The sequence below is a fragment of the Homo sapiens genome, chromosome 20, assembly GCF_000001405.40.
Source record: "Homo sapiens chromosome 20, GRCh38.p14 Primary Assembly".
In the NCBI taxonomy this organism is placed as follows: domain Eukaryota; kingdom Metazoa; phylum Chordata; class Mammalia; order Primates; family Hominidae; genus Homo; species Homo sapiens.
Genome location: NC_000020.11, coordinates 34,835,483 through 34,849,876, shown reverse-complemented (window position 1 = coordinate 34,849,876; position 14,394 = coordinate 34,835,483). Strand labels below are relative to the sequence as shown.

The following is a 14,394-nucleotide window of genomic DNA, read 5'->3' as shown; positions in this document are numbered from 1 at the left end:
AGCACCAACTGCCAGTGAAGTTTGGTTTTATTTGGCAAATTTCTATTGGAGCAGTGAACGATCTGGGGATTGGAACCAGTCTTGCCATTTCCTGGTTGTGTGGCCTTGGGAAATCCATGTCTCAACTCTGAGCCTCAGTTTTCTCATTTGTAAAATAAGACACAGTTGTTCATTCTTCAAACTTTCATTTACTCAACAGTTTGTATTGAACACGTACGTGTTCCAGGCATCATCCTAGGTGCTGGGGATTCTGCATTTACAGGCAAACAAGAAAATAAGTCATCAAAGAAATATGAGACAAATAAATGCTCTGCCAACTGTCAAAGCAGGGTGATATAATAGGACGGACTCAATGATCAAGGAAGACTTCTCTTTGGTGGCATTTAAGCTGAGATCTAAAGAGTGAGAAAGAAACTGGGTGCAATGGCTCAGACCTATAATCCCAGGCTGAGGTGAGAGGATCGCTTGAGGCCAAGAGTTCAAGAGCAGCCTCAGTAACATAGTGAGACCCCCCTCCACCCCCCCGTCTCTATAAAAAAATTTTTTTAAATTAGCCAGGCATGGCACGTGCCTGTGGTTCTAGCTACTCGGGAGGCTGAGGCAGGAGAATTGCTTGAACCAGGGAGGCAGAGGTTACAGTGAGCCAAGATCACGCCACTGCCCTACAGCCTGGGTAACAGAGTGAGATCCTATCTCCTAAAAAAAAAAAAAAAAAGTAAGAGAGAGCCCACTATACAAAGAATTGGTGCAGAGCTTTGTAGGTCAGGGGAGCAAGTACAAAGAACTCAGGGCAGGAGTGGGTTTGGTGAGTTTGAGGACTAAAAAGGAGACCAAGGTAAGCAAGGATGAAATTAGATCAGAGAGGCAGGCAGGCGCCGGATCGTGGACCTTAGGGTGAGGAGACGGACTTTCCTCTAAGAAAAGGGCTTAATTTTGGCACAGCTGAATTTTATAAACAGGAAAGTATCTGCACCTTTGAGGAGTTTTTATTATAACAGACAATGTATTAATATGACACGAGTCCAAAAGAATACAGAATTGATTGAGACACAGTCCTTGCCTGTTCAATATTATTATCCCCATTCTATAGAGGAAGAAACTGAGGCTCACAGAAGTTATAAACTAGTCAAAGATCAACCACTAAGTGGCAGAACTTCAATTAGGACACACACCTGGCTGATACCAAAGACTCTATTCTTTACTGCACAGCTCTTGATATCTCCTGGACTGAATCACATTAGAAGCAGAGACCGCGATCTTCAACAATCACATCCTGTGGTTGGCCAGCGACACTTGGATCCCAGCTGATAGATGACAAGGCCACATCCTTGAAATTGAATTTTGTTCAACAAATATCTGCTGGTCTCTGTTGAATGTGAGGCTCTGTGCTAAGTTATTTGGGCTCAGCCCAGTCCTGCCTTCAGGGCCTTAGTGTAAGATGGAGGTACAAGGAGTGGGGGCTTGGTGAAGGGAAAGTTCATCTACCTGAGGCCCTGGGGAGGCTTTATGGAGGAGGTGACAAGTAGCTTGGCTTTGAAGTATGAGTAGGAATTTGGTATGTGGAGGTAAAGGACATTCTGGACAGGAGGAACAGCCTAGGCAAAAACCAGAATGAATGGCTCAGAGAGCAGCCAGGAGGCTAGCTGTTGTTTCCTAGAGTTCTCAATTTACCCAGCACCTTTGTGACTTTTGCCACATTTGCACACCATCTAAACCAATATGTACATAACATGTCTCTCTAAATGAACTTCCTTTTTAGCCTAAATGTATTTTATTATTTTTTTGAGATAGAGTCTCACTCTGTCACCCAGGCTGGAGTGCAGTGGTGCGATCTCAGCTCACTTCAACCTCCACCTCCTGGGTTCAAGTGATTCTCGTGCCTCAGCCTCCCGAGTAGCTGAGAATACAGGTGCACATGCCACCACACCCAGCTAATTTTTGCATTTTTGTAGAGACAGGGTTTCACCATGCTGGCCAGGCTAGTCTCAAACTCCTGACCTCAAGTAATCCGCCTGCCTCGGCCTCCCGAAGTGCTGGATTTACAGGCGTGAGCCACCATGCCCGGCCCTAAATGTATTTTAAAAATAGACCTTATATCATAATCACAAATGGAAAAATGACATCATTTGCCACAAATAGATGACAAATAGCTATCATCTATTTGTTAGCTATACAAATAGATATGTGTAGTTTTTAGTTAAATATTGTTGCCCATGGAAGGCTCTGAGACTGCTTTCTCCATTAAAGAAGGAGATTAGGAAGCGTTAGAGAGCAGACTGAAACTTGTTCCTTGCCATAATCAAAAGGATTGAAAGTGAACCACAAAGGAAATAGATTTTCGATTAAGTGATTTAATGCTATTCAAGATTGGGTCTTCATCTCAAGAGCTACCAAAAGTCTTCCTATTAGGGAAAGAAGAAGACTAGATCTTTATTGAGAAGCGGTAGGATGTGGAGTTACAGGGCTTCTCACAGAGGTCAGCCTTAAGATTATCCAGTTGGGAAGGGGAGACACATGACCTGATTTGTCTTATTTAGGGGAGGTAGATTGAGGGGAGGAGAATTTAAGTCAGGGAAATATGAGAAGCAGCTGGGATATGGCCCAGGCAAGAGATGATGAGGGTCTGAACTTATCCAATGGGATGGGGATTTGTTCATCTATGTAGTAAGTATCTGCTCAATATTTACTATGTACTGACCCTGTCACTGGAGATCAATAGCAAACAAGACAACGTTCCTAACTTCAAAAAGCTTATAATCTAGTGGAGGGAGACACAGTAAATAAATAAACAAATACAGGTAGCAGTAAGTACTTTGGAAGAAAACCAAACAAGGTAAAGATGGTAGGGACTGCTGTTTTAGGTAATGGTGGAGGAAATTCTTGAAGAGGTGCCAAAGACTGGATAGCAGTAAGGGGGCCAGCAGTGTGACTTTCTAGGAGAGCATTCCAGGCAGAAAGAACAGTAAGTGCAAAGGCACTGAAGTAGAAACATGTTTGGCCTTCTAAAGGGACAGCAAGGAGGTCAATGTGGCTGGAATACAGTTAAGCAAGGTGAGAAATAGAAGGAAATGAGGGGAGGAATTTAGAGAAGTAGCAAGGTCCCAAGCAATGTTGGGCTTAGAGGCACCTTGGTAAGGACTTTGGATTTTATTCTAAATTCCGTTGAAGCTGTTGGAGGGCTTTGAGCAGGGGAGGTGACAAGGTCTGACTAATGGTTTAAAAGGATCCCCTTGGCTGCTGTTTGAACAGGCTATAAGAAAGGCAGGGGGCCAGGCGCGGTGGCTCACGCCTGTAATCCTAGCACTTTGGGAGGCTGAGGTGGGCAGATCACCTGAGGTCAGGAGTTCGAGACCAGCCTGACCAACATGGATAAACCCCCACCTCTACAAAAAAAAAAAATAGAAAATTAGCCGGGTGTGGTGGCGCAAGCCTGTTATCCCAGCTACTGGGGAGGCTGAGGCAGGAGAATCGCTTGAACCTGGGAGGCAGAGGTTGAGGTGAGCCAAAATCGTGCCATTGCACTCCAGCCTGGGCAACAAGAGTGAGACTCCGCCTCAAAAAAAAGAAAGAAAGAAAGAAAGGAAGGGAGGGAGGGAGGGAGGGCTGGAAGCAGGGAGACCAGTAAGGAAGGAAGGAAGGGAGGGCTGGAAGCAGGGAGACCAGTTAGTGGATTATGCAGAAATCCTGGCAAGTAATGATGGCAGCTTGACTTTGGCAGGTGGAGATGAAGACCCACAAAGCCCCTTTTTCTTTTTTCTGCCTCCCTCCCTCCCTCCCTTCCTTCCTTCCATTTTCTTTCTTTTCTTTTTTTGGAGACAGGGTTTTGCTCTTTTGCCCAGACTGGAGTGCAGTGGTGCAATCTCAGCTTACTTTACTGCAACTTGTGCCTCCCAGGGTCAAGCGATCCTCCTACCTTAGCCTCCTGAGTATCTGGGACTACAGGCATGTACCACCACGCTCAGCTAATTTTTAAATTTTCTGTAGAGATGGGGTCTCCCTATATTGCCCAAGCTAGTCTCAAACTCCTGGGCTCAAGTGATCCTCCCACCTTAGCCTCCCAAAGTGCTGGGATTACAGGCATGAGCCACTGCACCCGGCCTGTCCTGTTTTCAATATTAAGAATGACTGCATATTATTGATCACTTACTGTATGCAAGGTTCAGTGCTGTGTGTGCATTATCTCCTTTAGTCCCTGCAACTTCATGTTCTCATATAATCCCTATTTATGCATGAGGAAACTGAGGCTCAGCAAGGTAAAGTGATTTGTCCAAGGTCATACAGCTCTGTGGTGGAGCAGCCAGGATGAGGACTCAGGTCTGACTGTAGGACTCTTGAACTAGTGCTCTGTACATTCTGAATGTGTATATGTCGGGGATGGTTTTCAGGTGAGTTCACAGAGGAAGAGATTGAGTTCCTGGAAGCCAGGGGTCACCACGTGGAGAAAGTAGATGTCTTATCCTGGGTCCATGGCAGCCGAAGGACCAACAACTTCATCATCGCTGTTAAGGACCCTCGGAGCCCAGATGCAGCTGGAGCCACCATCCTGTAGAGCAGCGGGGTGGGGCGGGGTCTCTGCTCCCCCACTTTGCATGTTCCCAGAGTCCCTCCTTCTCCCAGGTTTGGTCTCAGGGGGACCCCAGGGATGCCCCAGATCAGGGGCCAGAGGGGATGCTTAGCAAACCCAATCCCAGAGTAACTGGAAAATTCTCCATCAGGAGGCCTGTGGTGGTGGTGGTGGTGGTGGTGGTGGTGGTGGTGGTGGTGAGTGTCAGCATCTACAGTACAGCCAGGCAGGCAGGACCTTGAGGAATCAGACTATCTGTCTGTGTGTCACCTCTCCTCCTTCAGCCATGCTGGCCCCGAGCTTAGGGATGTGCTTGCAAACCCTTCTCAAGGGTCTCACAACCCCAACATCTTCAGACTGGCCTGACCTGGGCCTTGTCTTCCAGTTCCTTTCTCCCATTCCCAGCCTCATTTCTTAAATGACTAGGAATTTTTTAATGGACCATCATAGGGAGGGGGTGCTCCTCTTTTCCCACCAGGTTGAGGTGGGGGCCTTGCATCGGGGGTCCCCAGGGTATGGGGTAGGGGTGGGGGTGGGCACCAGCTCAGGGGCTTCCATTTGCAAAGGGAAATTAAAGAAAGAATGTTGCTTAACCATGGCTCTGGTTTAATTTATATTTAACTGGGTTGAGAGTGGGAGTGGGAGAGGAGACCTCGGCTCACCCTGTCCCAGTAACCGATTCAAGAGTAACCTGGAGTCAACGTTGAAGGACTCATAATAATATCTGTCCAGCTAAGACATGCACCAATAATAATAATTCATAACACCAATAACTATAATATATAGCATCTAATCTTTATTACAAGCCTCATGAAGTAGGTACTAATATTATTGCCATTTTACAGATGGGAAACAGGCCAAAAGAGGTTAAGGGACTTGTCTAAGGTTCTTCATCTATTAAATGGAAGAACTGGGGTTCATCTCAGCATGTCCAACTCTGGAATTTGTGCTCTTAACCAATTCCACACCTATTAGTTGAACTCTTTGTTATAAAGTATACGTCATATAGTATATATCAGACAATAAATACCTTTTATAGATAATATCATTCATGCATACATTCTTCTATCCATTACATTCCAGGTACTTTGTTAGGCACTAGAGATTCAGCACTGAACAAGACAGGCTTTTCTTTTCTTTTTTTTTTTTTTTTGAGACAGTTTTGCTCTTGTCACCCAGGCTGGAGTGCAATGACGTGATCTCAGCTCACCGCAACCTCCACCTCCCCAGTTCAAGCGATTCTCCTGCCTCAGCTTCCTGAGTAGCTGGGATTACAGGCGTGCACCACCACACCTGGCTAATTTTGTATTTTTAGTAGAGACAGGGTTTCTCCATATTGGTCAGGCTGGTCTTGAACTCCCGACCTCAGGTGATCCGCCCACCTCAGCCTCCCAAAGTGCTGGGATTACAGGCATGAGCCACCGCGCCTAGCCAAGACAGACTTTTTAATGGGTTTGCAGTCTATCGGGGCAGTCAAATGTTAAAGAAATAAGAGCACAGATAATTCGGGTAATTGCCATCACAATAAACTCTATGAGGGATACTAAGAGAATGTATATCAAGAAAGTTAATCTAGTTTGAGGATCCGCAAAAGCTTCCCTGAGAAGGTCATGAGAATGAATAGGATTGACAGGAAAGGATTAGATATGGGATGTGGGAATGTCATTCTAGGCAAAGGGAACAGTATGTTCAAAGGTATTGTGGTGAGAAGGAATGTGTCATGTTTTAGGAGGTGAAAGAAGGCCTATATATTCTTCCTAGAGCAGGGGTTGGCAGAGTTTTCCTACAAAGGACCAGAGAGTAAATATTTCAGATTTTGTAGGTCATATGGTTCCTGTAGTAATTACTCAACTTTGTTGCTGAAGTGCAAAAGCAGCCATAGACAATGTGTAAGACAACATCCTGATGGCTGTGGATGTGTTCCAATAGAACTTTCTTTTCTTTTTTTTTTTTTTTTTTTTTTTGAGACAGAGTCTCGCTCTGTTGCCCAGGCTGGAGTGCAGTGGCGCGATCTGCAAGCTCTGCCTGCAAGTGGAGCTCACTGCAAGCTCCGCCTCCCAGGTTCACGCCATTCTCCTGCCTCAGCCTCCCGAGTAGCTGGGACTACAGGAGCCCACCACGCCCAGCTAATTTTTTTTTTTGTATTTTTTTTTAATAGAGACAGGGTTTCACCGTGTAGCCAGGATGGTCTTCATATTCTGACCTCGTGATCCGCCCACCTCGGCCTCCCAAAATGCTGGGACTACAGGCGTGAGCCACCGCGCCCCGCCAGAACTTTATTTTCTGAAAACAGACCCCTTCACGCCTGTAATCCCAGCACTTTGGGAGGCACGAGGCGGGCGGATCACGAGGTCAGGAGATCGAGACCATCCTGGCTAACACAGTGAAACCCTGTCTCTACTAAAAGTACAAAAATTTAGCCGGGCGTGGCGGCGGGCGCCTGTAGTCCCAGCTATTCGGGAGGCTGAGGCAGGAGAATGGCGTGAACCCGGGAGGCGGAGCTTGCAGTGAGCCGAGATTGCGCCACTGCACTCCAGCCTGGGTGACAGAGCGAGACTCCGTCTCAAGAACAAACAAACAAACAAACAAAAACCAGACCCTTACTGCTATAAGGGCAGTAGTGTGCTGACCCCTACACTAGAGCACCCCGAGGGGATGATGAGATGAGATGAAACTGGTGAGATAGGTAGCTCATTCTTATGAGGCTGGTATTAATTCCCCCATTTTATTGATGAGAAAATTGAGAGACCCGAAGCAACTTACCAGAGATCACCCAGCTGGTAGTTGGCAGATGCATAATTCAAAAGCAATCTGTTTGACTCCATAGACTATGTCTCTTTCTTTCTTTCTTTTTCTTTTCCTTTCCTTCCTTCCTACCTTTCTCTTTTCTTCTTTTCTCCCTTCCTTCCCCTCCTTTCACAGATCCATGATTCAAAAGCCATCTGTTCGACTCCATAGACTATGTTTCCCTTCCCTTCCCTCTCCTCCCCTCCTCTCCCCTCTCCTTGCTCTCTCCTTCCCCTCTCCTTCCCCTCCCCTTCCCTTCCCCTCTGTCTCACTGTCTCTCTTTTGCTTTCCTTCTTTCTCTTTCTTCCTTCCTTCCCTCCCTTTCTTTCCCCTTCTTTCCCTTCCCTTCCCTCCCCTTCGTTTCTTTATCTTTTTTTTTAGAGATAGGGTCTTACTCTGCCATCCAGGCTGGAGTGCAGTGTTGCAATCCCTGTTCACTGTAGCCTCAACTTTCCTGGTCAAGCAATCCTCCTGCCTCGGACTCCCAAGTAGCTGGGACTACAGGCGCATACCACCACACCTGGCTAATTTTTCATTTTTTTGTAGAAACAAGAGTCTCACTATGTTGCCCAGGCTGATCTTGAACTCCTGGCCTCAAGTGATTCTCCTGCCTTGGCCTCCCAAAGTGCTGGGATTACAGGCTTCAGCCACTGTGCCTGGCCACTTCTTTAAAAATTTTTAAATTATTTTATTGGATTGCAGATATAACAGTTTTTCAAATATCAAATACTTTATAGATATATAATGTATATCTGTAATCCACCCCTTCAAAATCCAAACCCTCCAAAAATCTCATTGTCAATAATTTAATACACATTCCTCCAACTTTTTTCTGTACACTAACATATATTCTGTTTAAAAAGTAAAAATGGGACTATATTTTCACACTGTCTACAACTTCCTTTTTTTTTTAACTTACCAATAGAGCGTGGGCATTTTCCCCTGTTAATATATATGGATCCACTTCATTATTTATAATAATGCATCGTAGTTCACTGAAGGGTTTAACCAGTTTCCTTTTGATGGATGTTTGGGTGATCCTTGCCCTGATATCTTTAGGTGCCTGAGCCATGCCTGTAGTCATACCTACTCTCCCAGGCTGTCTTTCAAGTGACAGAGTGTCTTAGTTCATTTGGGCTGCCATACCAAAATATCATAAACTGGGTAGATTGGAGCAGAGATTAGTGAAATAGAGAATAGAAAAACAATAGAGAAAATCAATAAAACCAAATCCTGGCTCTTTGAAAAAATCAACAAAATTGACAAACCTGTCCCAGATTGATCAAGAAAAAAAGAAGACTCGAAATTACTAGAATCAGAAATTAAAGATGGGACAGTACTTACAATCTTACAGAAATAAAAAAGGATCACAAAGAAATACTATGAACAACTGTATGTTAATAAATCAGATAACTTAGATGAAACATAAAATTTCCTAGAAAGACACATACCAAAACTGACTCAAGAAGAAATAGACAATCTGAGGAGATACATAACAAATAAAGAGATTAGTAATATATACTAAAAAGCAAACTACTTACAAAGAAAAGCCCAGGTCTCAGACGGCCTCACTAGTGATTTCTACAAAACATTGAAAAAAATTAATACCAATTCTATAAAAAAAGCTTTCAATAAATAGAAGAGGAAGAAACGCTTTCTAGTTTATTCTGTGAGGCTAGTTTTACCTTGAAATTAAAATCCAACAAAATAAGACCTAATAAGAAAACTACAGACCAATATTCTTTTATGAACATGGATGTAACATACTCAACAAAATACTAGCCAACAACATATAAAAAGAAGTATACACTGCCTCAGTGGGATACATTCCAGGAATTCAAGCTTGGTTTACTTTCAAAAATCAAGTATTGCATTATATTTTTTTGGTAGAATAAAAAACAACACATGATCATCTCAATAGATGCAGAAAAGGCATCTGACAAAATCCTACCACCCCTTCATGATAACAAACAAACAAAAAACACTCAGCAAACCAGGAATAGAAGGGAACTTCTTCAACATGATAAAAGGCAAATATAAAAAACCCTCAGTTAACATCATACTTAATAGTTAAAGATTGGATGCTTTCCCACTAAGATTAGAGCATACCCATTCTTGCTACTTCTATTCAATATTGTATTGGATGTTCTAGTCAGGGCAATTAGGCAAGATACAGAAGTAAAAGGCCTCCAGATTGGAAAGTAAAAAGTAAAACTATTTTTATTTGCAGATGGCATGATCTTGTATACAAAAAATCCTAAGAAATCAATGAAAACAATGACAGCTAACAAAGGAGTTCAGCAAGATTGCTAATACAAGATCAGTATAAAGTTTCTGTACACTTGCAATAAACAACCTGTAAATGAAATTAAGAAAACAATTCTGGCCAGGCACAGTGGCTCCCACCTGGAATTGCAACACTTTGGGAGACTGAGGCTGGAGGATTGCTGGAGCCTAGGAGTTGGAGACCAGCCTGGGCAACATGGTGAAACTTTGTCTCTACAAAAATTAACTGACAGTGGTGGTGTGTGCCTATAGTCCCAGCTCCTCGGGAGGCTGAGGTGGGAGAATAGCTTGAGGCCAGAAGGTGGATTGATGGCGCCGCTGCACTCCAGCCTAGGTGATAGAGTGAGACCCTTAAAAAAAAAAAAAGAAAAGAAAAAGAAAAAAGAAAGAAAACAATTCCATTTACTGAAGCATCAGAAAGAATAAAATACTTAGGAATAAATTTTATAAAAGAAGTATAAAAATTAAAACTATAAAACATTGTCGAAAGAAATGAAAGAAGACCTAAATAAATGTAAAGACATTCTGTGTTTATGAATCGAAAGATTTAATTTTGTTAAGATGACAATACTTCCCAATTGATCTACAGATTCAATGCAATCTGTATGGAAATTCCAGCAGCACTTTATTGCAGAAATGAATATGGATGATCCTAAAATTCATATGGAATTAATTGCAAGGGACTCAGAATAGCCAAAACAATCTTGAAAAAGAACAATGTTGGAGGACACACATTTCCCGATTTTAAAACTTACTACAAAGTAATCAAAACAGTGTGGTAGGTATAAGGATAAACATATCAATGGAACATAATTGATAGTCCAGAAATAAATCAATATATCTATGGCCAATTGATCTCAACTAGGGTGCCAAGATCATTCAATGAAGAAGGAATATTCTCTTTAACATATTCACATACACAAAATGAAGTTTGAACCTTGCCTCACACCACATACAAAAAGTAACTCAAAATGGATCAAAGACACAAATATAAGAGCTAAAACTATAAAACTCTTAGAAGGAAACATAGGGGTAAATCCTCATACCTTGGATTTGGCAAATGGTTTCTTAGATGTGGCACCGAAAGCACAGCAACAAAAGCAAACATAGATAATTGGATGTCATTGAAATTAAAAAGTTTTGTACATAAAAGGACAATCTTGAGTGAAAAGACAGTCCAAAAAATGTGAAAAGTATTTGCAATCTTATATCTGATCTGAGTACTTTATATAGTACCCAGAATATATTAAAAACACTTCAACAACATAAAGACAAACAACTCAATTAAAATATGGGCAAAGGACTTCAATAGACATTTCTTGGCAGGGTTCAGTGGCTCATGCCTGTAATCCCAATACTTTAGGAGGCCAAGGTGGGCAGATCGCTTGAGTCCAGGAGTTCAAGACAAGCCTGGGCAAAATGGTGAAACCCTGTATATACCAAAAATATAAAAAATTAGCTGGGTGCTGTGGCACGTGCCTGTAGTCCCAGCTACTGGGGAGGCTGAGGCAGGAAGATCCCTTGAACCCAGGAGATCGAGGCTGCACTGAGTTGAGATCGTGCCATTGTACTCCAGCCTGGGTGACAGGAGTGAAACCCTGCCTCAAAACAAAACAAAACAAAAAGGACACTTTTTTTTTTTTTCTGAGACAGAGTCTCACTCTGTCACCCAGGATGGAGTGCAGTGGCACCATCTCGGCTCACTGCAACCTCCACCTCCCAGGCTCAAGAGATTCTCCCACCTCAGCCCCCTGAGTAGCTGGGACTACAGGTGCATGTCACCACACCCAGCTAATTTTTGTATTTTTTGTAGAGATGGGGTTTTGCCATGCAGCCTAGGCTGGTCTGGAACTCTTGGACTCAAGCAATCCTCCCATCTTGGCCTCCCAAAGTGCTGGGATTACAGGTGTAAGTCACTGTGCCTGGGCTTCAACAGACATTTCTTCAAAGATAAGTCTATGATAAGATGCTGAATATCATAATCACTAGGGAAATGTAGATTAAAACAGGTCAAAATCACCATGAGATACCACTTCACAACAATTAGACTGGCCATAAATATTATTTTTATTTGTTTATTTACTTAAATGTTATTTTTTATCTTTTATTTAAATAGAGATGGAGTCTTACTATGTGGCTCAGGTTGGTCTCAAACTCCTGGCCTCAAGCAATCCTCCTGCCTCAGCCTCCCAAAGTGTTGGGATTACAGGTGTGAGCCACTGTGCGCCCACAACAATAATTTTTTAAAAAGGAAATAACAAATGTTGCTCAGGATGTGAAAAAGTGGAATCTTCATACGTTGTTGGTGGAAATGTAAAATGGTACAGCAGCTATGGAAAACAGTTTGGCATTTCTTTAATAAGACAAACCAAATTACCATACGACCCAGCAATACCATTCCCAGGCATAAACCCCAAATCACTGAAAACAGGTGTTCAAAGAAAAACTTGTACATGAATGTTCATAGCATCACTATTCACAATACCAAAAGGTAAAAAACAACCCAAATGTCCATCAACAGACAAAAAGATAACAAAATGTGGTATATTCACATAATAATACATATTATGTTATTCAGCTATGAAAAAGAATAAAGTACTGATACTGATACATGCTACAATATGGATGAACCTTGAAAACATTGTGCCAAGTGAGAGAAGCCAAAAGGTCACATATTGTATGATTCCATTTATATGAAGTATCCATAATAGGCAAACTGACAGAGACAAAGTCAATTAGTGATTCCTTAGGGCTGAGGGAATGGGGGGGTTGGGGAGAGGGAGATACCTAAAGATTATAGAGTTTCTTCTGAGGCAATGAAAATGTTCTAAAATTGACTGTGGTGATGGTTGCACATATCTGTGACTACACTAAATACCATAGAATTATACTTTTTTTTTTTTTTTTTTTGAGACAGGGTCTGGCTTTGTAGCCCAGGCTGGAGCACAATAGTGCAGTCTTGGCTCACTGCAAACTCCGCCTCCTGGGCTCAAGTGATCCTCCCACCTCAGTCTCCACAATAGCTGGGACTGCAGGTATAAAGCACCACGTCCGGCTAATTTTTGTATTTTGGGTAGAAATGGGGTTTCACCATGTCACCCAGCCTGGTCTCGAACTCCTGGACATATGTGAGCGAACCGATTCAACCTCCCAAAGTGCTGGGATCATAGGCTTGAGCCACACACCCGGCTGAATAATACACTTTAAATGAGTAAATTGTATAGTATGTCAATTATATCTCAAAAGCTGTTTTTTTGTTTTGTTTTGGAAAATTGTTTTTTGTTTGTTTTTGATTTTTGTTTTGAGACAGAGTTTCACTCTTGTCACCCAGGCTGGAATGGAATGGCGGGATCTCTGCTAACTGTTACCTCCACCTCCCAGGTTCAAGCAATTCTCCTCCCTCAATCTCCCGAGTAGCTGGGATTATAGGCACCCGCCACCACGCCCAGCTAATTTTTGTATTTTTAGTAGAGATGGGGTTTCACCATGTTGGCCAGGCTGGTCTCAAACTCCTGACCTCAGGTGATCCACCCGCCTCAGCCTCCAAAGGTGCTTGAATTACAAGCATGAGCCACCGTGCCCAGCCTGTCAATAAAACTGTTTTAAAAAGACATAGGATTTGGTAATATGAGCTAAGAGCTGAATGCAAACTCTATGACCCAGCAATCCTAGTCCTAGGTTTTTATCCAGCAAAAAATTGTACACATGTTCATCCAAAGACATGCACAAGAATGTTCATAGTAGTAAAATTTAAAATAACTCCGGCCCGGGTGCGGTGGCTCACGCCTGTAATCCCAGCACTTTGGGAGGCCGAGGTGGGCGGATCACTTGAGGTCGGGAGTTTGAGACCAGCCTGACCACCATGGAGAAACCCTGTCTCTACTAAAAATATAAAAAATTAGCCGGGCATGGTGGTGGGCACCTGTGATCCCAGCTACTCAGGAGGCTGAGGTAGGAGAATCGTTTGAACCCAGGAGGTAGAGGTTGCAGTGAGCCGAGATCACGCCATTGCATTCCAGCCTGGGCAACAAGAGCGAAACTCTGTCTCAAAACAAAACAAAAAAAGCTCTGGCCAGGCGTGATGGCTCACGCCTGTAATCCTAGCACTTTGGGAGGCCGAGGCAGGCAGATTGCCTGAGCTCAGGAGTTCGAGACCAGCCTGGGCAACACAGTGAAACCCTGTCTCTACTAAAAAATACAAAAGAAATTAACCGGGCATGGTGGCGTGCACCTGTAGTCCTAGCTACTCGGGAGGCTGAGGCCAGAGAATTGCTTGAACCAGGGATGCGAAGGTTGCAGTGAGCCGAGATCGCACTACTGCACCCCAGCCTGGGTGACAGAGCAAGAGTCCATCTCTAAAAAAAATAAATAAAATAAAATAAAATAGCTCCTAAGTGGAAACCCACATGCTCATTAACAGTAGAATGGATAAATTATGGTGTATTCAAACAATAAAATGCTGGCCAGGTGTGGTGGCTCACATCTGTAATCCCAGCACTCTGGGTGGCAGAGGTGGGAGGATCACTTGAGCCCAGGAGTTTGAGACCAACCTGGGCAACATGGTGAAACCCCGTCTCTACAAAAAATACAAAAATTAGCATGGTGTAGTGGCATGCACCTGTGGTCCTAGCTACTAGGGAGGCTGAGGCAGAAGGATTACTTGAGCCTGGGAGGTCAAGGCTGCAGTGACCTGTGATCCCACCACTGCACTCCAACCTGGGTGACAGAGCAAGACTCTGTCTCAAAAAAATAAAAAA

General features: G+C 43.3%; 1 protein-coding gene across 7 annotated transcripts in view; it reads left to right on the top strand.

Moving 5' to 3' along the window:
- Window positions 1-5,157, top strand: part of GGT7 (gamma-glutamyltransferase 7) — a 28,137-nt gene extending 22,980 nt beyond the window's left edge. For 6 of the 7 annotated variants that reach the window (NM_001351702.2, NM_178026.3, XM_047440107.1 and 3 more), the window contains one exon: window positions 4,386-5,157. In NM_001351702.2, the coding sequence (NP_001338631.1) occupies window positions 4,386-4,448 (63 nt within the window). In that variant the 3' untranslated portion in view covers window positions 4,449-5,157. Of the gene's footprint in view, window positions 1-1,209; window positions 1,376-4,385 lie in introns of all 7 variants that reach the window. The other variant, XR_001754240.2, reaches the window with a different exon arrangement.
- Window positions 5,158-14,394: the final 9,237 nt, after the last annotated feature.